The 25541-nt window shown below is 38.2% G+C and overlaps 2 protein-coding genes across 32 annotated transcripts in view, besides 3 other annotated features; one reads left to right on the forward strand and one right to left on the reverse strand.

The window, feature by feature from the left end:
* On the reverse strand, positions 1827–24757 carry DRAM2 (DNA damage regulated autophagy modulator 2). 23 transcript variants are annotated; one of them, NM_001349891.2, is made up of 11 exons: positions 24702–24757; positions 24165–24330; positions 22187–22250; positions 16088–16232; positions 10891–10958; positions 9406–9545; positions 7280–7307; positions 5180–5357; positions 4541–4623; positions 3469–3561; positions 1827–2931 (listed from the first exon to the last, which is right to left on the reverse strand). In NM_001349891.2, the coding sequence occupies exons 8-11, from the start codon at positions 5304–5306 to the stop codon at positions 2824–2826; spliced, it is 411 nt and encodes a 136-aa protein (NP_001336820.1). In that variant the 5' UTR covers positions 5307–5357; positions 7280–7307; positions 9406–9545; positions 10891–10958; positions 16088–16232; positions 22187–22250; positions 24165–24330; positions 24702–24757; the 3' UTR covers positions 1827–2823. The 23 variants fall into 23 exon arrangements, 15 of the variants coding, with proteins under 15 accessions (NP_001336820.1, XP_011539010.1, NP_001336815.1 ...); NR_146305.2 differs by lacking the exon at positions 9406–9545 and having other exon boundaries at positions 5196–5357; NR_146308.2 differs by lacking the exon at positions 7280–7307 and having other exon boundaries at positions 5196–5357.
* Positions 12854–13003: an enhancer, noted in NCBI's record as "active region_1480". NCBI's record gives its function as "activates an Ori minimal core promoter by ATAC-STARR-seq in GM12878 lymphoblastoid cells {active_cell/tissue: GM12878}" and the evidence as "EXISTENCE:reporter gene assay evidence [ECO:0000049][PMID:35858748]".
* Positions 18633–18722: an enhancer, noted in NCBI's record as "active region_1481". NCBI's record gives its function as "activates an Ori minimal core promoter by ATAC-STARR-seq in GM12878 lymphoblastoid cells {active_cell/tissue: GM12878}" and the evidence as "EXISTENCE:reporter gene assay evidence [ECO:0000049][PMID:35858748]".
* Positions 24163–25541, forward strand: part of CEPT1 (choline/ethanolamine phosphotransferase 1) — a 45606-nt gene continuing 44227 nt past the window's right edge. For 4 of the 9 annotated variants that reach the window (NR_138485.2, NM_001410844.1, NM_001007794.3 and 1 more), the window contains exon 1: positions 24163–24425. The gene's annotated coding sequence lies outside the window, so the exon portion shown is untranslated. Of the gene's footprint in view, positions 24426–24512; positions 24579–24886; positions 24972–25541 lie in introns of those variants that run through there. The other 5 variants (NR_138483.2, NR_138484.2, XM_011540496.3 and 2 more) reach the window with 2 other exon arrangements.
* Positions 24706–24965: a silencer, noted in NCBI's record as "silent region_1180". NCBI's record gives its function as "represses an Ori minimal core promoter by ATAC-STARR-seq in GM12878 lymphoblastoid cells {active_cell/tissue: GM12878}" and the evidence as "EXISTENCE:reporter gene assay evidence [ECO:0000049][PMID:35858748]".

Here is a 25541-nt window from a genome sequence, read left to right on the forward strand (position 1 = left end):
CAATATCCAATTGGTACAAAGAGAAAAAACTGGGAGAAAACATTATGAATTCTCAAAACCTTAATATAAAAATAGCAAATACATCCACTCCACTTTCTAAAATTCAGTTTTGCATCTACATCTAACTGCACATGAGGCTAGGAAATATAGTCTTGCAGTATACCCAGGACAAAAAGGAAACAGATTTTTCACTATCGGTTCACAGTATCTGCCAATTTTGTTAGCTTAAGACCTCTTACTTTAAAAGTTAAATATTCAACTCAAAAATGTTGATGGAATTGAAGAGAAATGCCTTATCTGTTCAATCAAGCTATTGTATCTGACAATGGAGGCAAGGTATATTTTGATGGTATGATTGTCTTCTGTCACTTCAGCATTACAGTTAGGGATGAACACACATTCCAAATTCTCTTATAATCCCTCCACAAGCCTACAGCAGTGTCCGCTTATCAGTAGGGATATATTCCAAGACCTCCAGCGGATTATTTGAAACTACAGATAGTACTAAACCCTCTATATACTGTTTTTCCCTATACATACATATATACTTATGATAAAGTTTAATATATATATATCTATGATAAAGTTTAACATATACATTAGCCATAGTAAGACGTGAACAACAATAATAAAATAGAACAATTATAATAATATGCCAGCATACTACCCTTGTGCTTTTGGGGCATTAAATAAAATATGGGCTACTTGAACACAAGGACTGAGATACTGCAACAGTCCATCTGATAACTGAGATGGCTACAAAGTGACTAATGAATGGGTAGTGTCTACAGCACAGATATGCAGAAAAAAGAGATGATTTACATCCTGGGCAGGAGGGCAACAAGATTTCATCACACTACTCTGAAGAGCCTATAATTTGAAAATTATGAATTGTTTATTTCTGAAATTATCTTAATATTTTCAGACCATGGTTGTCTGCGAATAACTGAAAATGCAGAAAGCTAAGCCATGGATAATGCAAGCCAACTGTATTAACATTTTTAGCCTATGTTATTTCTAAGGGTAAAAGTTAACTAATGGGATTCAAATATTATGAAAGTATTTTTTTGTCTTAAAATAATTTATTTAATATGTTGGTATGTATCGCTAAGCCTCGTGTTCTAGGAATGGACAAAGTCTATGTTTTTCCCTGAGCCACTTTCCCCATACAAATTTTATAATTTTATAAACTTTGACTCTGTCAATTTCCTTCTCCCCATACTATCATGCTTCATAACTTAAATAATAGTTTCCTTGATACGGGAATCAGGACTAAATGACATTTTGCAGGTGTGTTACACCGTGCTTTTCAAAGGCATGATACTTTTTTATGGTTTGTATCCAAATTATTTCTAGCAATGTCAGCATTTAGTCAATCAATGCTTATGGAAATGTCTCCCAGGTTTATTGCTGTTTAATATAGGCATAGTATTTTATTCCCTTTCTGTCTTATTAGTCCAGAAGACTTCAGAAATATTATTTACTGATTCTTGTATCTAGCAACTAATTTATAATTGAGGTCTCCATCACATAAGCATTATTCCTTGAATTGCTCCAACTGACAGTTTAAATGTTTTCTCCCCACCTTTTCTTCTGGCCAGGGAACCATCTCTTCTAAAAAGATAAAAACCTGATTAATCTTCTTCAAAGATTATTCTGCAAACCAGTTCATCACTGGGCACTTTCCAAATGAGCATTTTTTTCTTTTTAATTTCAGCAGGGATCTGTAAACTATTCTTTACCTGTACATACAGAGATCCAAGGAGAAACAATCCAATCATTTGCATACCCAGAAAAAATGAGAACACTGTTTTTGTAGATGCATGTATCACACTTATTTTGCATGTAGTTTAATTGGATTGCCAATTTTGTTCTTTAGAATTTGGGCTCTACAAAGGTTACATCCTATTAAAAAGGCTCAATATTTACCTGTTCAAGACTACTTTTACATGTAATTATAACTTGCCATAAATGAAAATCTAAGAAGCTCTTGAGTATGGTTATGACTTTTATTAATCATATCTGCTGTTATTCCCAAACTTCTCAATGTTACATGAATACTAACCCTTGTTTTATATAAAATATGACTAAAGTAAATTTACCTACAGGTGCCTCTCTCCTTCATTGGTGATTAAAATTTCACGCCAGAGACTAAACTTCATGAAACTACTGCAAGCATGTGTATGATAGACCAATTAGCTTAGTATCTGGCATTGTGGCCAGAAAAAAAAAAATCGTTACCTACAAAATCTCTTGGGCAACACTTAAGCCATGGAAGAGCCCACATGAATCCAGGTCTACTTTCCTTTACAGGTAGATTCCAGAACAACAACAAAAAATGTAAGACTACAAGAAATGATTTAATATGATAAAACTCCCATTTCAAAACCCAGTTCTAAAGGATTTACTGACTAATGCTGATTATTTAGTCATGGAAAATGTCTCTCATAAAAGTGCTCCTAACAAAACATGATCTACAATAATTTATAAAATGTGAAGGGTTGGGATGTGCAGACTGATTGGTGCACGTCAGGTTGTTTCTCTTAAATAAGGTATAAAAAACTATGATATCATAGTCTTTTGACTTTATTTTCTGAGATAAAAAAGTATAGGCATAGGTGTTTTTAATAGTCTTCTTGATGATATCCTTTAGAATAATCTATCAAATGGCTTCTTTCATGTTTCCTGATTATCAGCATTCATCAGTGTTACTGTCAGCCTTGATTAAGTGGTTGAAAATTTCAGAGAAGAATAAGCAACTTCTGTGAACCTTTCCCCAATCCCTGAGAATCATAATCATTACAGAAATATTTTATCCTTTCATCAAATATCTCTGGAAAGTAGCCGTGTTCGTTCATTGTTAATAGGGCAAGGTGCAGTGTCATAGAGGGTTAATCCATGTAAATTGGCTTCCACCCGTAAAGAAATTTTCTGGAACAGAAAAGAAAATTATATATAGAAGTTTGCTCCTTAAAGAGAGATCACTCCTTCAATATGTTCTATAGGCTACCTTGTGATTATGAATGTAAATCAATTCTAATGGTAGTGAGACAGCTGTTTTACTGTCAAAGGTATCCTCTTTGTACCAATTAAAATCTGGAAAAACCAAGCTTCTCAATTCATAAAGTTCCCTGTTTTTCTTTGGTTTCTACTAAGAATCAGTAAAACTAAATGTTGAGAATGACCTATGTAAAAGTACACAGAATCGATAACAAATTCTATGTAAGAATTTCTGAAATTTATTTTATAGCCCCATTTTCAAGGCTAAATCTTGCTAGCAATACACTACTTCTTTAAACACAGAAACAATTCACCTGAAAAGTTACATCACTTGTTTATGATACCAAATCACAAACAGTTAATTTTCAAAAAGGCGGGAGAGTTGCCTATGGAAAGTTCTCTTAGTCTACCTTCCTGGACTAAGAGAAGGAAGTCTGACTGAATAAATCTAATATTGTGCCTTCTTACCTGAAAATCACGAATGTAAGTCAGGAAAAAACCAAAGAAGGAAAATGACATAGACCATTCTGCTGCAGTAGTGATCATGTGAAGCACATAACCCTGAGTGATGGGAAAAAAAGAATAGTTTTGTGAAATTTCATTTAAACGATCTATATACTATGTTTCAAATAAAAAACACACAATTCTTATAAAATAATGGAGCTTCTGAAAATCAACCCTTGACTTACCAGGCATATAATATCTCTAGAATTAAAGAGCCAGCATTAGGAAATCCTCCTAAATGACACTCTATTTGTTTCACTGGGAGCGAATAAAATTTCCAATTAAATAGCTAAGATAGAACAGGATCATTTTTACTCTACAATCGAGAAATTACTATTGCCTTACCCAAAGCCATAAGATTCATAATATGCAACTAAGAAAAGTTTAACAATGCTCAGAATAAACTTAGTAAGTGCTGTGTTTACGATATTAAATAATATATGGGTTACAATTGGGAAAATCTAGTAAATTATTTCATTCATTCATTTTCACAAACATGCCCAATTTGGGGCTAATTCTTATATAAAACACCACCAAGTGGTTTGTGAAAACAGATGAACTCATTTTATTCTTTAGTATATGTTCCTCTTCCTCTATTCTCAGAGTCCCAGATGTTATATCTACATTCAGATATCCACTATATTGAATCCTAAATGCAGAGTCCATAATCAATTTCCAGATAACAAAAAGTGGGAGAAGATGTCTTTTCAATTCAGAAAACAAGTATTCAAAACATAAATGATCTCGGTTGGCTATATTATATACTATACCCACATTTAGGGGAGTCAATTTCTCAGAAAACTCTTCTGCCATCGCAATGCTCTTCATATTTTGACAATATCTACAGATCACAGGTGACAGGAGAATATGGAAGGTTCTACATAAACCCTACCATATCAAGAAAATAATTTTAATACAGAACTGATTATTCTACCAGAAGACTTTCATTGTTACTGATGAAATGAAAAACATATCAAGATCAATCAAAATAACCATCTTTAATATAAAACTAAGTTTATAGACTGTAAGTTCTTACTTTGTCCTCGGGGTTCCAATGGAGTTTCTGTTCTAAATCAGTCCCAAAATTGCCACTGTGCAAAACTGATGAGCAAGTCAGCACTATAAAAACATAAGTCAAGGAAGAATCTCAGAGACGATCTCAGAGAACAAAAATCACTTTACAGTCTAAAAGGATTACTCACACATTTATTGCTAAGGTCTAAACCCATTTTCTTAAAGACTTAATGTTACACAGCAGTGGTACTGTAAAACTAAAAATGTGCTGCTCAGAGGGTCACAACAAAATGGTTCTCACAGTCAAACCCCACCTCTTTGCTCAGAAAATTAGCAGTTCTATCATAATCTTTAACTAGATAATGGTTCTCAGAAAGGGCATTTACTCATCCCTCATTTCTTTGAAGTGAGTATGATCAGGCTCAACATTTTTGTTCCTAGCTCAATTACTGAGGCACTATGTACAATCTGAATTCCATATTTCAAATTCTTTAGTTTAGGATTGTGAACCTAAGAATCTCTCCTACAAAAAAAAAAAAAAAAAAAAAAAAAAAAAAAAAAAAAAGACAAAAAGGCTTCTTATACTGCACCAATAGTGTTTACTTAAATCTTGTCATTCAATTCCTTTCCAAGTGTAGCCACATTGTACAGTGAAGGATACTGCTAAGTGCACTTACTCCACACCAGATAACCAACAACAGTCTGATCCAGAAGACTTGTTTGCCATGGATTTTGGGCTGCATTTGGTAGGAAAGGATGGTCTGAACAAACATATATAATGAGCCCATACCAAAGGTAAGCACAGCTCCACTTACATGTGCAGCAAAAAGGGTTGTTTTCTGAGAGATAGAGAGAAGAAATACGTCAATAAAAGAAACTCAGAACACATTGGCAACACAACATTTAAAAGCACAACCCAGAGATTTCAATAGGACATTCACTGAGTAGAGAAGCTCGGCCAATTCTACAAACAAATTACTTTCTGAAGTAATTTTCTCTCATAATACTCAGTTTAAACCTAAGGATTATAGTAATACCAAACTATTTCATATACCTCCACTGAAAATATAATAGGAATTATTCATTTATTATTTTCTTCATTTAATAATATGTTTACTTGGTGCCTATTAGGTGCTAGGCACTGTTCTAAATCTTCAGATCCATTAGAGAACAAAACAGGCAAAAATCCAGCTCTGAGTTTAGTAAAGGTACATAAACAATAAATATAAACTTCAGAAATAAGGAAATTCCAGTGTGTCTGATGGTGAAAAGGGTCATAGGAAAAGCATAGTGCAATAAGAAAAGATTAGGATGGACTGCAGTGCTGGGAATAGGGAGTTTCCATTTAAATTCAATTTAACTGTAAATAAAATTTAAAGACTCAAGAAATTAAAATATTCTCCCTTGGCTCTAGCTTGATTGGTTATATATAGTTACACTGCTATAAGCCAAGGAACACCAAGGATTACTGGTAATCACCAGAAGCCAGGAACAGATTCTCCCTCTGAGCCTCCAATAAGAGAATCAACCCTACCAACACCCTGATTTCAGACTTCTGGCCTCCCGAACTTTGACAGAATAAATTTCTATTCAGTCACCCAGTTTGATATTTTATTATGGCAGCACTAGAAAATTAATACAGATTTCTGCTTACTAAAGTTTTACTACTCTCCTTTGATAAATTTCGTATGAAGAAAAAAATTCCTCTAAGTAGGTAGTGAAGACACTTACCATGTAGTTATTTTTCTGAACAACATATACAAATTTGTTTTAAAAGAAATTCAATTTTTATTTTTTAAGTTAGATTTTTCAAATACCATCTTATAGCAATTATTAGGCATCTCTTTAAATGCAGGCAACCACAGCAATAAGAGAATTTTTTCCAATCCTGCATAGTCCCTTTAACCTCTCTCAATAAGTTACTAAATAATTAATGAAAGCATGTTTGTCTTAAGTACTAAGCTAGGTGCTGGAGATACAATGGTGAACGTTTCGAAACCATTGTGCTTATAATTAATAAAGAAATACATCAACTAAAAAATAAAAATAATAAATTTACAACCATGGATATAAAGGGCGTTATGGCCTACCAAACAGAGGAAACAGTATGTGAGAGGAAATTAAATAAGCTTGTCCTATTTAAGGAGCACAAAAAGGCTAGTGATATATATAATGGAGATATTAAGAAGGGGGACAATGCAAAATTAGGCTTGAAAGGTAGACATCAGCCAGATTATACAAGATCTTTGAGTTAGTTAGGCAGTTTGGTGGTTTAGCAAATTATTTTTTTCTCTCTTGAATTGTATCTCTTTTCACATAATTTTTAAACCTGTAGAACTTTAAGCAAGGACACAGGGATGCAAAATGAGATGTATATACGTTTCCAAAAGATCACTTTTACTGCAATATGAAGAAATGATTCAAGGAATGTAAGAGTGAATGCACAGGAACCATTGAGGAGGCTATGGCAGTAGTTCAGATGAGAGATGATGAAATCTAAGCTAGTTGAGAAGAAGACAGTAAGGAGGGAAGTAAAGACAGAAATGGAAAGAAGTGAATGTCTTCAAAAAATATTCAAGAAGTAAAACCATTAAGTCCTGACTCCATTTAAAACACAGTGCTAGCCTCTCTTCCAAGCCAATACCTGCAAGGGTAAAACCATTTATAGACCTGGTTTTGTAAAATTTTTCCCGTATAAATCACCTAGAGTTTGTCTCCATAAAAGAAAAGGGGGAAGTGGAGGAGGAAGCAGTGCACTCACCACTTTAATTAAGTAGTAAACGTTTACTCTGGAAAGGAAGGAGATCCTCATTAGTATAGCAGTGGGTAAAAAAAAAAAAAAAAGAAAGGAAAGAGAATTGTTTGATATTTGGGTAATGCTACAAGGTCTGGTTATAAACAGGGCCCAGCAATAAAGCCGTCAGTGAAAGATGAAGAGGGCATCTAAAGTTGCATGAAGAGATGTTAACAAAAGAGAAAAAGTAATTTAGTCAAAATTACACGGCCATAAGTACTCTTGTGAAGGTAAATTAGAATAAAAGCTAAAAGCAAAACAATAAAGAAAGTATATAGGCTACCTTAAGTAATTGAGATAAAAGTGGAAAGGCGGCTTGTGTGGGTGCTATCAAGAACTGCTATTGGAATTTGCTGGGCTGTGTAAACAAATACTGGAGATTCATGTTTACCATAAAAGTGATGAGAAACATTGTTAAATTGACCAAGAGACAGACAATCACCATCCTCACACTGAAATTCTCCAAAACATTTTTTAATAATGAGCTACAGAAACTGATTAGGGAAGGCAGAACTCTATTTGTGGCACAGACAGCTAGCTAGTTGTCCACCCAAATTGTTGTTATCCTTTCATAGTATAAAGTGGCTGCTGGGAACTAATGTCCAGCAAAACTAAATTTTCTCCAGGGTCCATTTTTTCTGACCTGTGCACACCCGCTGCACCCCCATATCTAGCAAACATGAATGTCAGTGGAATTACATGAGTTACTGTCAGGTGACAAAAATTCTGTCCTTCACCAAACCCAGCTCAGGTTCCTCTGAACTTTCTTGTCAACTAGGTCCTGACTTCTGGGTTGCCATGTTCATCTCTGCATTGTCCAATTTTAGCAAGAATCTTGTTCAGTTTAGCCGTAATCATCCATTCTCAGTATCTGATCACCATAAATATATCACCTCTACCATCCCTCAAGTGATGTCTAATCACCCTGGCCTGCCTTCACCAAGAATCCTATTAGGTCAGTGCTATGGTTTTGACTATTTGACCCCTCCAAATCTCAAGTTGCAATTTGATCCTCAATGTTGGAAATGGGGCCTAATGGCAGGTGTCTGGGTCACAGGGGTGGATCCCTCATGAATAGACTGATGTGGGGGGTTGGGGGTGGTGAATGAGTTCTCACTCTATTCATTCCTGTGAGAGCTGGTTGTTAAAAAGAGACTGGCACCACCACCCCCTTGCTTCCTCCCTTGCCATGTGAGCTCTGCACACACCAGCTCCTGCTTTGCTTTCCATCATGTGTAAGCTTCTTGAAGTCCTCATCATAACCAGATGCTGGCATCATGCTTCTTGTACAACCTGCAGAACTATGAGCCAAATAAACCCCTTTTCCTATAAATCACCCTGCCTGAAGTATTCTTTTATAGCACACAAAACAAACCAAGGCAGTTTAACCAGAATCCCTTCTTAACCCTTACGTTTCCAGCTTAGTAATTTTCCATCCACTAACCACTACACCCTGCTCCACAGCTATGAATTCCCACTTTTACTTGTATTCAGAGTTGAGCCCAATGTTTCTTTCCTACTGCTCTCTCTGTGGAGAATTGAAAAATATTTGATAAAGGTTGACCACTACTTTAACATTAAGTATTTGACATTATTTTTCCTGAGAAAAAGCTAGAAGACCTACAGTTCTTCCTTTCATTTCCTCATATACAAGGCAGGACACCTAGGAATGCAGGCAATCAATGAAAACATCCAAACAAGTAGATAAAATAGGTAAATGATTATAAATTGTTAGGCATATTAAAAACAAAACTTTTAAAATCTGTAATTGTGTCACTTCTAATTTATATCAATTTTGTTTCAGTAGTGAGTTGAAGTAATCTCCAACTAAGTAGTAATGAAGACTCTAATAATTGTCCTGTGGATCCTAAAAAAGTTAAAATAATTTGTATTTGTTCAGACTTTTAAATATGAATTTTTCTAGTTGTGCAAGTAGCTATTTCTAATAGGGTCAAATAATTTAAAGGAAGTGATTTCTATTTTGCTAAGGTAAAGAAATAACAACAGCATGTAACTGAATGCTTCAGGTTTCCCTTTTAATATATATATTTATGTACTTAAGGAAAATACCTATGCTGGGCTAAAACACAAACCTGGAAGTTTGCCACAATAGAAAGTCCTAAACAACTCAGTATTCCAAGTACAAGGCCAGCCTTGTTTAATTTGATGATAACGTTCTCTTCAGGACTCAGAGCATGAACTTGCTTATAACGAACATAAATGGTAGCAATGCCTGGGAAAAGATAATCCAAAAAACAACAAAGTAATAAATAATCAAGAAATAAAGTTGCCAATGAAGAGTTCACAAAGGTCACTGCTATCCAGAATCACAGATTTTCCTTTTAAAATTAATCAGAGAGAATAAAAAGAAAAAAAAAAACAAAATAGCTGTAGTTTTGTTTTTGCTTTTAAAAAATGGGGTCTCTCTATGTTGCACAGGCTGGACTCCAACTCCTGACCTCAAGTGATCCATTAGCCTCAGCCTCCCAGATAGCTGGGACTGTAGGCACATACCTGTGTGCCTGGCTCATGCTGTGGATGTTGGAGAACCTTAAGGTTGTATTATGGAACTACTGATCCCTCCAGTGACTAAGCAAATCATTTGCCTTCCATGGGTCTCATATTTACAAACAGTTATATAAAACACAAAATGTTTTTATGATTAGCATCAGAATCAGCACTAGTTATAGAATATAGATAAAATGGGCGTAGGCAAAAAACCCAAAAGCTTATTTGTGTCACTCTCATATCATTTTATTTCAAATTACAACTTGGCTCAGTAAGACATAGTAGCCAATTACACAGGGGGAAAAGCCCACCTTACCATATTTATCAGTCAAGAACTAGCTAAATCAAATTTTCCACTGCAGAAATATTGCCAGACAATTCAACAGTGTAGAAAGCAATACAAGAGATATGCTTGTAAAGACATGTTTCTGAAGAGTTTGGTCATGAAATGAACTTCTTTAAGTTGAATTATCTTCCTGATTTCTATTTTTGACCTAAGCAAATAATAAACATACAGAAGAATGCAAATATTTAAAACAATCACACTTGATGGAAAAATATTATGTGAGTAAACCATTAATAAAAATTTGGTTCAAAATAAACAGGGATATGAAATACTTCAGTAGCAACTCTATCCCTTTAGCATTAGAATGTTGCTCAAAAATCAAAACATGGTTCCATCTTTATTCTCAAACATCTAAACTGTTTATCCCAAAGGAATTTAGTTAGGATTAGCGGTGGTCAGCTGCATCCACAACTCTTTGTTCCTTACTGGTTGCTTAAGAAGTCCACTACAGTCCTCAAGGAATATCTGGTTAGACTTAACAACTTCCATTTGAATGAATAGTAGAATAATCCGACACATATTTTTTTAAAGGTTTATTCCCATAAGTCCGCATTTCTAGAAAAGTGTTTTTCTTTTAAAAGGAGCATAATTATGATCAATTATTTAGTGATAACATACTCTCAAGTATAACTAGAAAGTAAAACAAGTAACACTCCAGTGTTGAAAGAAGAAAATACTGTAGCAATTTGGCTATTATCATGTTAAAATCACTTTCATTACTTACATAAAACTGCCGCAATATTTAGCATTGCCCCAAATAAGCATTTTTCTGGAGCTACTGTACCAGTGTCACTGAAAGAAAAAAAGGAAGGTATGTGGATTTCTCATACTAGATAAACACATATATTTCTTCTAAGGGATAAGAATATCAGGAGTTAATTCAAACCTCTTATCTTTTATAAATCCATGAGTTCAACTCATATCATTTTATACAGAGAACATGACAATTTGAGTTCACAAATATCTGCCTACTTCACCTTTTACTCACATCATTTTAAGATTATTTCTCTTCCACATAGTAGAAATCAATATATATTGATTTTTAAAAAGCTGTCCTTGGTATGTTAAGACTATGTTATTGACCTACCATCATTCAGGCAGATGGATTTATCTGTCCCACCAGAATATTCCCTAAACACCACAGGCTTTTCACAACTGCCTTTTTGCACCTTTTGTTGACTATGTCTGTATTCAATTAACGCCTATTCACCTACTGATCAATTTTTAAAAGTATTATCAAGCACTTACCATGTGCCAGACACCATTTCAGAAACGGGAACACAGTGATAAGTAAAATAGACAAAGCCCCTGCCCTCGCGGAGCTTACATTCAAGACAGTTTTGAGTCTCTTCCTCTCTATAACCTTGGATAACTCCTCTAGCAGATAGTGACTCACATAGCATGCTTTCTGAACTTCTATAAACTCACTTACCACACAGCATTGCAATGTATCCACCTGCATGCCTGTCTTTCAGGGCAGTATGCAACACACCGGGGCAGATTAAAACCCCACCATTTACTTACTGCAGGACCTTAGGTTCATCCTTTTATCTCCCTAAAACTGTTCCCTTAATTTGCAAAATGGAGCTATTCATTCCCTCCCAGCTCATCATATCACTGTAAGGATGAAATGTAATGGTAATGCATGTTAAGTATCTAGCACAGTAGCAGGCTAATGGGAGATACCCATTAAATATTAGTTCTTTCCCCTTCTTAAAACTACTACAAAGATTAAAAAGACAGTGTCTTTGGCCTTGAATTGACATACTACAGGAAAGAGATAATTAGGGTCTCAACTAAGACAATGCATGGGGATAAAAAAGAAGTAGAAAGTTATAGCTGGTAAGAATCCATAACATATAGTAAACATTTAGATTAGGGGTGTTAGGAAATGGAAAGTATTAAACATGAATTGTAAGGATTGCTCCTTCTAACTTTCCAATTCCATGAGTCTTTCTCTTAAAAAAAAAAAATCTGCAGTGAAAATAGAGAAACAAAAAATAATGTATTTGTAAAGAAACAATTATAAAATAATAAATTTATCTTTTACATACAAAAGATTTTGGTACTCTTTGACCATCTTCAGGAGGAGGGAATAAAGGGTTTTTTGTTCCTGCTACTTTTCAAATTTTCCACAATGTATATGTATTATTCTTAGAAAAATCCATAATTTTCATAGCTATACTTCAAATGATACATGTAAGTTAACAAAGGCATGCATTTCCAAGATGGTTGGCTAAGAGTGTTCCTTCCTTTGGCTCAGGAGAGAATGACATACACTGGCCTACAAATGAAAACAGCCATGCCCATCACCTCATTATCATAGCACTTCATCTCAGTGGTCACAGCATCACCAAAAAATATCTGATCATCTAACATCAAAATATATGTTATCATTATTCTGTACGTTAAATATTGGCAAAGTTTAAATGTTTTTAGATTAAAAATATACATAGATGTTGTAATATTTCTTCTCTTACCCCAGTGGCTAGTCACTCCCTTGGGCATCCACTACTTGAACCAACTAAGAGAACACCTGAAGCACACTTATAGCAAAATTGTCTTTGAAGTGAAATTTACATTTGGTTATGTCCACTGGGGCTGTTAACAGCTAAACCATTTTCTTCGTTTCTTTTTTTTTTTTTTTTTTTTTTGACAGAGTCTCGCTCTGTTGCCCAGGCTAACAGCTAAACCTTTTGGATAGGATCTAGGAACTGAAAAGAATTTTGCAGACTTGCTAGTTTAACTTAATCATTTTGCAGATGAAGGAAATGAGCCTACAAGAAATAAAAATAAGTACTAGAGTTTAAATATGTATGTCAGAATGTTGGAGAAAGACCTCAGGGTAATACTAAGTTCATTAGCAGAAAAATCAAAAAGCAGAAGAGGCAGAACAGAAAAGGAAGTGTCTAGGGTGCTTTTTAAAGAAAATCACATGCAGTACCACCAAGGAAGTGAAACTCAGAAAAAGAACTAAGTGGCCTCTTATATTACAGTAGTCCCTCGGTATCTGTGGGGGACTGGTTCCAGGACCTCCATCAGATAACAAAACCTGGGGATGCCCAAGTCTCTTAACATAAAATGGTGTAGTATTTGCATATAACCTATGCACATTTTCCAATATGCTTTAAATCATCTCTAGATTACTTATAATATCTAATACACATCACTTCATTCCTGTGGATTCAACGAAGTACTTGGCACCTGGCAAACTCAAGTTTTGGAACTTGATGGAATTTCTTTCCCCAGAACATTTTCAATCTGTGGTTGATTGGATGTATAGAAGTGGAACCCATGAATATAGGGGGCTGGCTGTATTAAAAGTTTTTCAAAACGAAAGCAGACAAGTTCTCAGATGGAGAAAAAAAATACTGTGAAAGACCCTCATGAATCTTAAATATGTACCTTCCGGAGTTACTAAAGAATGGTGTGGCTCCTTAGGCTACATATTCCACTAGCAGAGTGGTAATTATTTATCAAATTATTTCTCGAATTGGAACCTTAAATTCTAAAACATTTTTGGGTTCTGTAAATCTTCCCAAACTGCATCCAATTTGTTTATATCTTTTGTGCCACGCCATACCACTGTGGAAACAACATGTAGATAGTAATGCCCAGATCTTTTCTTGACATTTTTAAAAGATAAATTTAATCTTCCAATTTATCATTCTTTAAAAGATTACTATTTTCTGTGTTGGAAAGGTTATTTTTCTGAAGGTAAACAAATGAATAAATGAAACAACCACAACAGCAACAAAACAAAAAATATTACTCAACAATAGCAACAAAATTTGGCATCTCTGTGAAGAGACAGATGTTTCAAAAGCATCATATAGAGGCTGAATACTTTCAGGGGTGGACCTAACTATATTCCAGGTGAAATCATCTAGATTAAAACACTAGTAGTTGCTTAATCATATTTAATAATAACGTTTTAATAATTATGTTTCCTTCATCTCCCTGCCCTATGTAATTTATTTAACTTTTATAGAGAAGTTTAAGTCTCAATAGCTCAGAAACCATTCATATAATTATGATTTCCTCATATCCTTTTTGTGAATGCATAAACTGATGCAACAATTCTAAAGATACATTTGGAAATGTCAAATGAAAAATGTAGATGCCCTATTACCTATCTAGCAATCTCACTTCTAGAAATCTACCTCATATCAACATCAGTATGTAAAGTTGTATGTAATGAAACCTTCATTATAGTACTGTTTGTAACAGCCAAAAAAAAGGGAAGGAAGAATAAGTAAGCAATTTCTTTATCAACATCCTATCACTTTTTATAAATGAAACAAAATAAAAAACCCAAAAAAGTGAGAAAGAACGAGAAAAAAAGAGAAAGAGTTTTGTACATACATGATAACAAGATAAACCAAACTCTGGAAGGAAATCTACCAAACTATGAATTGTCTCTAGGGTGTAGAAACTGGAAGGTGTCAGGAAGGGATTTTTGCTTTTCATTTTTATAATCACTCTAGTATTGTTTAAAATTTGTTGTAATAATTACGTTTTGCTATTGCAATTTTAAAAAAAGAGGGTTATTATAGCTTCTTGGCCTTTTGGCTAAGATCAAGTGTAAAAAAAGAGGGTTATGAACATAGTATATGCAACTGACTACCCATTCTTCATTCGTTGTGAGATTTCAAAAATGTTATCAATAAATTTTGATACTTAATACGTCAAAAATATCTAGGCAGCATAAAAAGTAAGAGCCTAGCTTCTAGAGTCAAACTGTCCAGGTTTAATTCTTGGTTCCAACACTGAGTTATTTGCCCATGAGCAAATAACTTGACCTCCCTGGACCTCATTTCCTTCTCTCTCAAATGAGGATCATAGTTTCTACCTTATCCAGTTGTTGTAAGGATTCAACTATTTAGGACATGAAGAATGCTTAGTAAATTACTTTCTACGAGGCTGGGCACAGTGGCTCACGCCTGTAATTCCAGCACTTTGGGAGGCCAAGGCGGGCAGATCACGAGGTCAGAAGTTCAAGACTAGCCTCACCAACATGGTGAAACCCCATCTCTACTAAAAATACAAAAATTAGGCGTGGTGGTGTGCGCCTGTAATTCTAGTGACTCAGGAGGCTGAGGCAGGAGAATCACTTGAACCTGGGAGGCGGAAGTTGCAGTGAGCCGAGATTGTGCCACTGCACTCCAGCCTGGGCGATAGAGTGAGATTCCATCTCAAAAAAAAAAAAAAGTTTGGGTGCAGTGGCTCACACCTGTTAATTCCAGCACTTTGGGAGGCTGAGGTGGGCAGATCACAAAGTCAGGAGTTCAAGAGCAGCCTGACCAACATGGTGAAACCCCATCTCTACTAAAAATGCAAAAAAAAAAAAAGAAATCAGCTGGGCGTAGTGATGCACGCCTGTAATCCCAGCTACTCGGCAGGCTGAGGCAGAAGAATCGCTTGAACTCGGGAGGCGGAGGTTGCAGTGAGGTGAGCTGAGATCATGCCACTGCACTCCAGCCTGGGTGACAGAGCTAGACTCCATCTCCAAAAAAAAAAAGAAAATTACTTCGTACGCAGTAAGCATATTAAGACATGTTTGTCATTTCCATTATCTTTTCATATCATTATTATTGTTTGTAGCATTTATTTTTTAATTTTAAGCGGCGAATAATTCCAATTCTATATTCTGAAACAACTTCAAATACTTACTTAGAAAACAAGGCACTAAAGAGTCACAGTTCAAGAACCAGTTCACAAACTGAATCTTATTGGGCTGTCTCTACATTTCTCTATCACAAAGAAAAAGCCAAATTCAAGTTCCTTTTTATATTCCCTTTATTGTTGTAATGCCAATGTAAAATCTGATTTTTAAAAGGTTGACATTAAATGTTGACTTCAATGTTAAAATAAGAATGAGACATAAAGAGTCTCCTATACAAAGAATACATTTCACTTACCTGATATAAGGTAAAGCCGGGTCTATATGGTGGAGTGTTACTGCAGTAATGTATGAAAATATGAAAGCAGCAGATGTCCAAATTACAAGGGCTGAAGGAAGGAAACTGAGGCCTTGCTGAAACCACCACATTTCTAACAGGTTTTCTGAAATAGAGAAAACATATTAGAAAAGATAATTCACAAGAGTTTCCTCATCCTACTTTAGCCATCCATGCCCACAGCCTTGTACTTACCACCCCAAGCTGTTTCACCTCTGAAATCATCCCTCATGCCATACCCCAATACTCGCTCTCCTTCCCTTTCTTAGTGAGCGCAACCAAGATTCACCCACGTGACAGAGCTAGAAACTTGCTTTCTTGTCCCATCTTCCCATGGAAAGTACCAAGTACTGTTTATACTACCTCCCAAATTTATTTCAAATCTACCCTTTTTCTCCATCTTCACTGTCACTACTTTACCCAAACCACCATCATCTCTTGGTCAATTATAACTTCCTAAGGGGTACCTGTGATATTGTGAAATACATATGTATTTGGTCTTCATCCCATTTCCTGGCAAAAAGCTCTTAAAACGCTTGGAATCTCCAGGGTAATAGGAGTGTCTTTTATATGCTAATAAGGCTTGCAGTCCATATAGTTTTAGGATGGGAGCTGGTCACAGGAAAGACCAAGGCATAATTAGAGGGTTGGACGTTCAGTCCTCCATCCCCAATTCCAGGAAGGCAGAGAGAGAGGATGAAACTTAAGTTGATCATGCCTGTGTAATGAGGCACCCATAAAAACCCAAATGGACTGGGTTCAGAGAGCTTCTAGATAGCCAAACATGCGGAGGTTCCTGAAGGATGGCATACCCAGAGAGGGCACAGAAGCTCCGTGCCCCTTTCCATATCCCTTGCCTTATGCATCTGGTAAATATAAGCATTTCCCTGAGTTCTGTGAGCCACTCTAGCAAATTAATCAAACACAAGGATGGGGTAGTGAGAACCTTAGTTTATAGCCAGTCAGTTAGAAACATGGGTAAGACAACCCCAGCTGGTGATTGGTGTCAGAAGTTGGGAGGTAGTCTAGTGGGACTGAGCCCTCAACCAGTGCGATCTGATGCTATCTCTAGGTAGATACCATCAGAATTGAATTAGGGGATATCCAATTGGTGTCAGCTGGTGGAGAGAAATCTCCATACTTCTTGATGATCAGAGAAGTATTGTGTTGATTATTGAGTGAGAGAACAGGAAAAACACTTTGGGTGGTTTTTCTTCCTCTTTTTTTTTTTTTTTTTGAGACAAGGCCTCACTCTGTTGCCCAGGCTGGAGTGCAGTGGTGCAATCACAGCTAACAGCAGCCTTGACCTCCCTGGCTCAAGTGATCCTCCCACCTCAGCCTCCCAAGTAGCTGGGACCACAAGTAACGCACCACCATGCCCAGCTAACTTTATTATTTGTAGAGATGAGGTCTCATTATGTTGCCCAGGCTGGTATCAAACTCCTGGGCTCAAGAAATCCTCCCACTTCAGCCTCCCAAATTGCTGGAATTATAGGTATGAGCCACCCAGCCAGCCTAGTTTTTCTATTATTACTCAATCCTCCTCCAGTCTTGACCAAACCAATCTAGACTCCACTCTAAAACCAAAGTAATCCTTCTAACTTCAAAATACCAATCTGATCCCCTTATTCTCCTACAATGGTTTCCCCTATACCCTTAGTCTTTGCTCCTTAACGTGGTCCATAAGGTCCTTGCATTGTCTTGTCTTTACTTACCTTTTTTTTTTTTTTTTTGAGACAGAGTGTCACTGTGACACCCAGGCTGGACTGCAGTGGCACAATCTCGGCTCGCTGCAACCTCAGCCTCCCAGGTTCAAGAGATTCTCCTGCCTCAGCCTCCTGAGTAGCTGGGATTACAGGCATCTGCCACCACGTCCGGCTAATCTTTGTATTTTTAGTAGAGATGGGATTTCACCACGTTGGCCAGGCTGGTCTCGAATTCCTCACCTCAAGTGATCCACCTGCCTTGGCCTCCCAAAGTGCTGGGATTATAGGCGTGAGCTACCATGCCCGGTCTGTCTTTACTTATCTTTCTATATTCACCTCTGGGCCATGCTTGGTTCTCAATTCTTTGCTCTAGCTATCATTATCTCATCATTACAAAAGCAAACACCTAGCATTTACTATGCCTTAGCAGTGTTTACTAAACACCTTAAATACATGAAATAATGTACTTTCCTCAACAGAATTAGAGGTTAAGACAATTGCCCAAGGTCATAGAGCTGGATGTGGTGGAGATACGATTCAAACTCAAGCAATTTGATTCTAGTGCCCAATCAACTATGCCACAGTGCCAGAGCATATTTCTTATAGATCTTCAAATGTGTCATGCTCTCTAGCACACCTTCAGACATTCATGGTGACTAGAACACTACCTACCCAGTTAACTTTTATGTTTTTCAAGGCTCAATCTTTCCAGCTTCAGCTGAGTGTCCCTGCTTTGTTTTTAACAGCACCCTTTACTTCCCCAACCAGGGCACTCATTACATTTAACTTGCTTGTTTGGTTTTCTCATCCTCACTAAACTTTAAGTTCTGTGAGAACAGGAAACAACTGTTCTGTTCACTATTATATTTCCAGCTCCTACATTGGGGCAGCAGGAGCAGGGGCGGAGACAGAGGGCCTAAATACACTCATACCCCACATCACCACTTTCTTCCTTGAATTCCAGATTAAGGATGTTGTTAAGTAATAATGAGTCAATAATGTGAATTAAGAAACATTGGTACAAATTCATGCTTTTAATTTTTTTAATTTTTAAAAATATAAGAATACTTTTAAATTAGAATACTCCTATGAATGTGAGAATAATTTCATGTTTGAAGGAGTATCTTCTCATATTTTTTTGATGACCTAAAGAAATTTAGTGTTTTCCATGAACTTTGTGAATACTTACAGCTTCCTCATCTGAGACTGACTTTCCAAAGAATGAAATCTCAGCCATTTTTTATTGGTATTTGTCATTTACTCTGGCCATCTGATTTGTTGCTAAATATACACATTTGCATTTCATAATCTTCTCTTTTCTCTTCCTTTTTCCTTGTCAGTCCTTAACATCCCATCAATATCTTTTTTCTTCATCTATTCAGTTAATCATGACAAGTCCTTGCCAAATCCTATTGGTGCTTTCCCCAGCATAGGTTTCCAGGACAAGAGTTCTTAATTTACATAATTTTGAATCATTTCTAAGATCTTTAATTTTTTCATTTTTCATCTCTTTAAATGTTAATTTGTTTCTGATCATTCCTATAAGTCCTTAGGAGTCTATGTCAGTTTAGCTGTCCCTTACACATATGTTTTACAGTTTTTGACTCTGAGCCTATATTGGACAATCTTAAAATCTGGGAGTATTTTAAAAGGCTTAACTAAGGGTGAGTCATTACAGAGAGGATCCGTATTTGTTTTTTCCAGACAGTATGGCACATTACCAACCCGGGCCAACTTTATGTTAATTTCTTGGCTTCTGGTTTTTTAGATCATGTAGATATGTAAATTTGAACCTTGAATGAGTGATGGCAGACCCTCCAGTTTCAAGTTTTCAGGTGGTATCTTTATTCCCCCACCTGGAGCTGTGATGAAAAGGAACAAATTTCTCTGTGATCTCCCTTTGCCAGGAGGGAGACATTTTTCTGGCCCACCTATGACTGACTGTGTAGACTTTTGTGGGTCCTGGCTGAATGTGGGGCAAGGTGCTTCTCCAATACCATGAGTTGTACAATTTCAAGTGGAAATACTTAAACTTTATTCTATGAAAACATCACCCCCTGAAACACAGGTACCATTTACCTCAACTACCATGGAATGGCACCCATTGACATTGAAGCATGTGCCTGGGAGGTTACAGGGATATGAATTCTATCTCTCTGCTTTGGGTAGAGAGCAGCCTGTCACCTGTCCCTGATTGTGCTCTACTTCTGCTATCAGCCAAATGCCCCCAAAGGAAACACACTGCTAGTATACTACTCTAGTTTCAGCTTTTTTATTGTTGTTGTTTAACTTTTTAGCCCTGGAGATTTCCCTGTCTTTCGTAGAAGACCTGTCATGAATTTAATGAGCTAATGTAATTTATTCAGCATTTAGGTGTATTGGTAAAAGAGATTTTCAAATATTTTGTCCACCTCATTGCTAGTAGCAAAACCTCCTCCCCCTTTGTTTTACATGTCTAAATCCTTCTTTTTCTTCAAAAGCTCAAATGCTATCTTCCACAGATAACTTTACCTAAGCCCTTTGTATGTAGAAATAAGCACCCCTTTCTCTGAGAACACTTGACTTTCACATCTTTTAGAGCTCATTGTCTCTACAGTATGAAAATTGAGGACGGTGTCTTTAGGGAATAAGATCCTTCCACTTCTCTACCTAAGCATAGCAGAGGACCTTACCCATAGTAATCACTCAATTATTTGTTGAATGAACAGCCAAAGCAAAATCCTTTTATTTCCCAAAACTATTCATGATTTTTCTATTTCAGTAAACAACATTACCATTTTTTTCAGGTTATGAGGATTCTAAGACTTCAGAGGAATCTTAGGTTCTCTCTTATAAAGTCCTCACATGCTGTCACCAAGTGATGGCAATTCTATTTCTACAAGTCATTTAAACCATTCTTCTTCCCAGTTCACACTGTAACCATGTGATTCTGACTTTCAATTCTCTTGGCCTATCTGCTTTTCCTTCCCCTTCACCCATTCCACCTGCATTACCTAATTAACATTCCTAAAGTATTCCTCTGCTCAAAACTTTTTTTTTAATAAAATTGTGTGAACTTCAGCAAGCTTCATAACTTCTCTGAACCAGTTTCTCCTTTGAAAAATGGAATAATGTGAGGCTGGGTGCGGTGGCTCAGGCCTGTAATCCAGCACTTTGGGAGGCCGAGGCAGGCGGATCACGAGGTCAGGAGTTCTGAGACCAGCCTGGCCAGCACGGTGAAACCCAGTCTCTACTAAAAATACAAAAATTAGCCAGGCATGGTGGCGTGCGCCTGTAATTCCAGCTACTCGGGAGGTTGAAGTAGGAGAATGGAGGCTGAGGTAGGAGAATCGCTTGACCCAGGGAGGCAGAGGTTGCAATGAGCTGAGATTGTGCCACTGCACTCCAGCCTGGGCAACAGAGCAAGACTCCATCTCAAAAACAAAAAAACAAAAAAAAACAAAGAAAAATGGAATAATGTTATCAACACAGATTGTACCATCTGCTATAGCAACCACTGCTACATGTAACTATTTAAATTAAAATCTCGATAGATTAAAATTAAATAAAATTTTTAATTCCTCAGTCACACTACCCACATTTCAAATGCTCAAAAGCCACGTGTCACCATCCTGGCCAACACGGTGAAACCCCGTTTCTACTAGAAATACAAAAAATTAGCCGGGGGTGATGGCAGGCGCCTGTAGTCTCAGCTACTTGGGAGGCTGAGGCAGAAGAATCACTTGAATCTGGGAGGCGGAGGTTGCAGTGAGCTGAGATCGTGCCACTGCACTCCAGTAAAAATTTAGAACATTTCCATGATTGGCCGGGCACGGTGGCTCGCGCCTGTAATCCTAGCACTTTGGGAGGTCGAGGCAGGCGGATCACGAGGTCAGGAGATCGAGACCATCCTGGCTAACACGGTGAAACCCCGTCTCTACTAAAAATACAAAAAATTAGCCGGGCGAGGTGGTGGGCGCCTGTAGTCCCAGCTACTCGGGACGCTGAGGCAGGAGAATGGTGTGAACCCCGGGGGGCGGAGCCTGCAGTGAGCCGAGATCGCGCCACTGCACTCCAACCTGGGCGACAGCGAGATTCCATCTCAAAAAAAAAAAAAAAAAAAAAAATTTCCATGATTGTGGAAAAGTTCTATTGGACTGTGCTGAGTAGTCTTTGTACAGCTTATACTGATAGCACAAGCAAAGAACCTAACAGATTGCTGGTGCATAATAAATGGTAGCTTTTAGTATTATCTGTTAAATAGTATAAAATAATACCCATTTCATAGAGGTTTATTCAAGGATTAAATAAGATACTTATTTTCAGAGATGATCAGTATGTACTTGTTCCTCTTATAATGTGAAAAATGAATTACCTGTTTTACAACTTCACAAAATGTTAGTCTTCAGACCTGCTCATACCTGCACCTTTTGTAAATCCTAAAACCGACACAAAGAAAATAAGAAGTTTTTCTCTCAATCCACACAATTTTAAACATGTACAGTTTTAAGTCAACACGCCAATATTGTTCATGGGCAGAATACTAGGCTACAGCATTGTTAACAGGTTATTTTTCTTTGATGAGTTGACACTTGAGTTTTTTACAATGATGTTGTACCATCTGGAATTAAATAATGTTTTAATTCCAGGATATAAATTTTCATATGCATTCTCACATCCAACACCTTCACTATCTTAAAGAGGAAAAAAGAAATATCATTGCGTCTTCTCCTATAGAGAGACATGAGGAAAAAAATAATAGATTATTAAGCAAAATAAAGCAATTGCAAGTCCATGTGATGTAAAGAACACAGCTGTGAGATGAGATATCTCTAAACACAAGTCCTACCTTTACTACTACCCAACTCTATGATTTCAGGCAATTTACTTAGCTTCTGAGTTACAGTACTCAAACAGTTGTTCCTTGGAGTGGAGTAGAATAAGCATACAATATAATAATGATAGCTGATTTATTAATTATGTAGTCATAAGGCCACAGGTATGGAGTACAACTTTATGTATGATTTTTTTCTATGTACGAATTATCTTGGATTCGTATCTCCTTAGGCTTTGAGAGTCCCAGTTGTTTAAACTGACAGTTTATAGAAGCAGGGCTTGAAATGGTTTACCAGTTTGCGAATGACAACTGAGGAATTTAAATGCATGGACTAGGTGAGGAAGACTAATTGTCAATGTGTTTTTGCCTTTGAAACCTGAAAGCATTGCTGAGTAATTGCCAAACCAACAAAATTAGAATTTCAATGATTCATAATTCAAAAAGCCTTTCAAAATAATTGAGAGTATGCAGGAATAAATTTCACAGGGCAGTAAGAATGTTTATAAAAATGTTCTTGCAGGCCGGGGGCGGTGGCTCTCGCCTGTAATCCCAGCACTTTGGGAGGCCCAGGCGGGCGGATCACGAGGTCAGGAGATTGAGACTATCCTGGCCAACATGGTGACACCCTGTCTCTACTAAAAATACAAAAATTAGCTGGGCGTGGTGGCGGGCGCCTGTAATCCCAGCTACTCAGGAGACTGAGGCAGGAGAATCACTTGAACGCGGGAGGCGGAGGTTGCAGAGAGCCAAGGTCGTGCCACTGCACTCCAGCCTGGCAACAGAGCGATACTCCATTAAAAAAAAAGAAAAGAAAAAGTCTTGCATCTCTAACCTAACCTATCTTCTCTGCTCTCTTTGAAGTTCTATGAATCAAAACTGTGATTACAATTTTTTAACAAATATTTAAATACCCGTGGTAATAAAATGAATTCCTCATGCTGTCTTCGCCAAGTGGTGAATGCTAAGAAATAAGAAAGGAAATTCTGGAAGTTCCAAGTGAACGGTCAGAAAGCCCTAAGCTGCTTTTAGAGATGCACAGAACCATCAGGCTCAAATCAAAATATAATTTAAAAATACTTACTTTTCTAAACTCTAACTTGGCCTCCTGACAAACATAATATTCTCCTAATGGTTAAATCCTAAAGAGTCTAGAAAATTAAGTTTTTTTATAAGCTGCATCAAATGTTACATTAAGAGAAATGAGGACAATCCGATAATGCAATGCAAAATACAGAGTTGCATTTGGTTACTGATTTATAAATTAAAATTTGGGAGAACTGGAAAGATTATTTCTACAGTGTTTTGTGTTTTTCAGATGTATCCTACTTGAAAGCACGGTTGTGAAGATACCCAGGACCAGCAATTTCCTTTCTGTGTGGGACCCACCCGCTGCGATAGAATTGAGTGCAGAAGACTGAGCTTCGTGTAAACACAAGGTCACCAGGGATCGTAATTTCAAACTCTCCCCTCCCCCTCGCTCCCTCCAGCCACCAAAGTATCTGAACCCAGAACTCACAACAGGAACGTGTACTCAACAGGAACGTGTACTCAATTAGCTTTTGTGGGAAAGGGTTGAAGATTCTTGGTAACTGCTTCAACAAACCAGAGGAATTAATTAGACCGCTGATTTTCTCCGGAAGCGCGAAGCACTAGGCCGTTTGAGGATCTCCGCTCCGCTTTGCCTGGGACCAGGAAAAGACGCGAGAGACGGAACTCGGCATCAGGCACTGCTTGGGGCAGGAGGAGAGTAGGGGAAACCAAGGAAGAGAACAGAAAGGTAGGGCACGGGGAGCTGAGCCCAGCTGCACTCATCCCCGCCCCCGGAAACCCCCGCAGCTCCCGCCCCAACCAGCCCCCCTCTGGCGCCTGGCATAAGGTAGCCCCCGGAGGCAATGAGGGCCAGCAGGAGTCTCGCGCGCCTGCGACGCGGGTAAGGGGGCTCCAGGCTGCGCCCACTTCCCCGAGCTGCCAGATCCCACCCTCTGACGCACCCTTCTAGAGGGAGCGGGCTGCAAGCGCTGGGGCCTGTCCCTTCTCCCCTACTTCGACTTACCTTACCAGACCGACTAGCGCTGGCCGCTGGCGCCGAAGCCCCTATGCTAAAAGGAGACAGGGCTGGGCCACGGGGCGCGCTCCCGAGCAGACCGGCCGGCCCCGGGGCGCGCTCACGGCACCGAGGAGCGCGCCTGCGGCGCTGCTCGTTCAAACCTTGTTCCCCTTTACGGCAATCGCGAAAGTGTCGTGAACGTGCTGCCGCCGATCAGTCACCCAGTCGGCTGGAGTCGGAGGCGATATTTCTAGGGGTGTACTTGTTGGGGTCAGGGTAAGGCTGCGGAGCGCGGTCACCGGACGTGAAGGATTTGAAGGGCGTTGTAGGGGCCAGTGGAGAGAGGACTGGATGCTCTGGGGCGGGTCATTAGGATATAGCTGTGTATGGACTCGCGCGAGGCGAACGCCGTCCTTCTTCCTGGCGCAGGGTGGCCTCGCGCGCGGGGTTGTGGGGAGGCGAGGGGCGACTGCCCCCTTGCCCCTCTGTGGAGACTGCCCCCTTGCCCCTCTGTGGAGACATTGGGGTGGCGGAGCGCCGGCGCGGGAGCCGGGGGGCTGTTGTGTGGGAGCCCAAGGTAGGGGTGGGAAGAACCGTGGAGGGCCAGCGCTGAGCGGGCCGAGGGCTGGGAGCGCTACCCGTGCCGAACGGACCTTGCTTGTCAGGTCCACACCCTCCTGCCCGAATGCTGGCAAGTCCACACACCGTGTGGCATCCTCTGCCGGGTTTGTCTCCCCTTAGGAATGCGGTGCTGATGTTTGTGGCTGGGACGCGCTTCTGGTCAGCAACTTTTCTGGAAATTTCAGCCTATATTGATAAGCTGTGAGATTGCTAGCTGGCGTTTAT

This window comes from Homo sapiens, chromosome 1, assembly GCF_000001405.40.
Source record: "Homo sapiens chromosome 1, GRCh38.p14 Primary Assembly".
Taxonomy (NCBI): domain Eukaryota; kingdom Metazoa; phylum Chordata; class Mammalia; order Primates; family Hominidae; genus Homo; species Homo sapiens.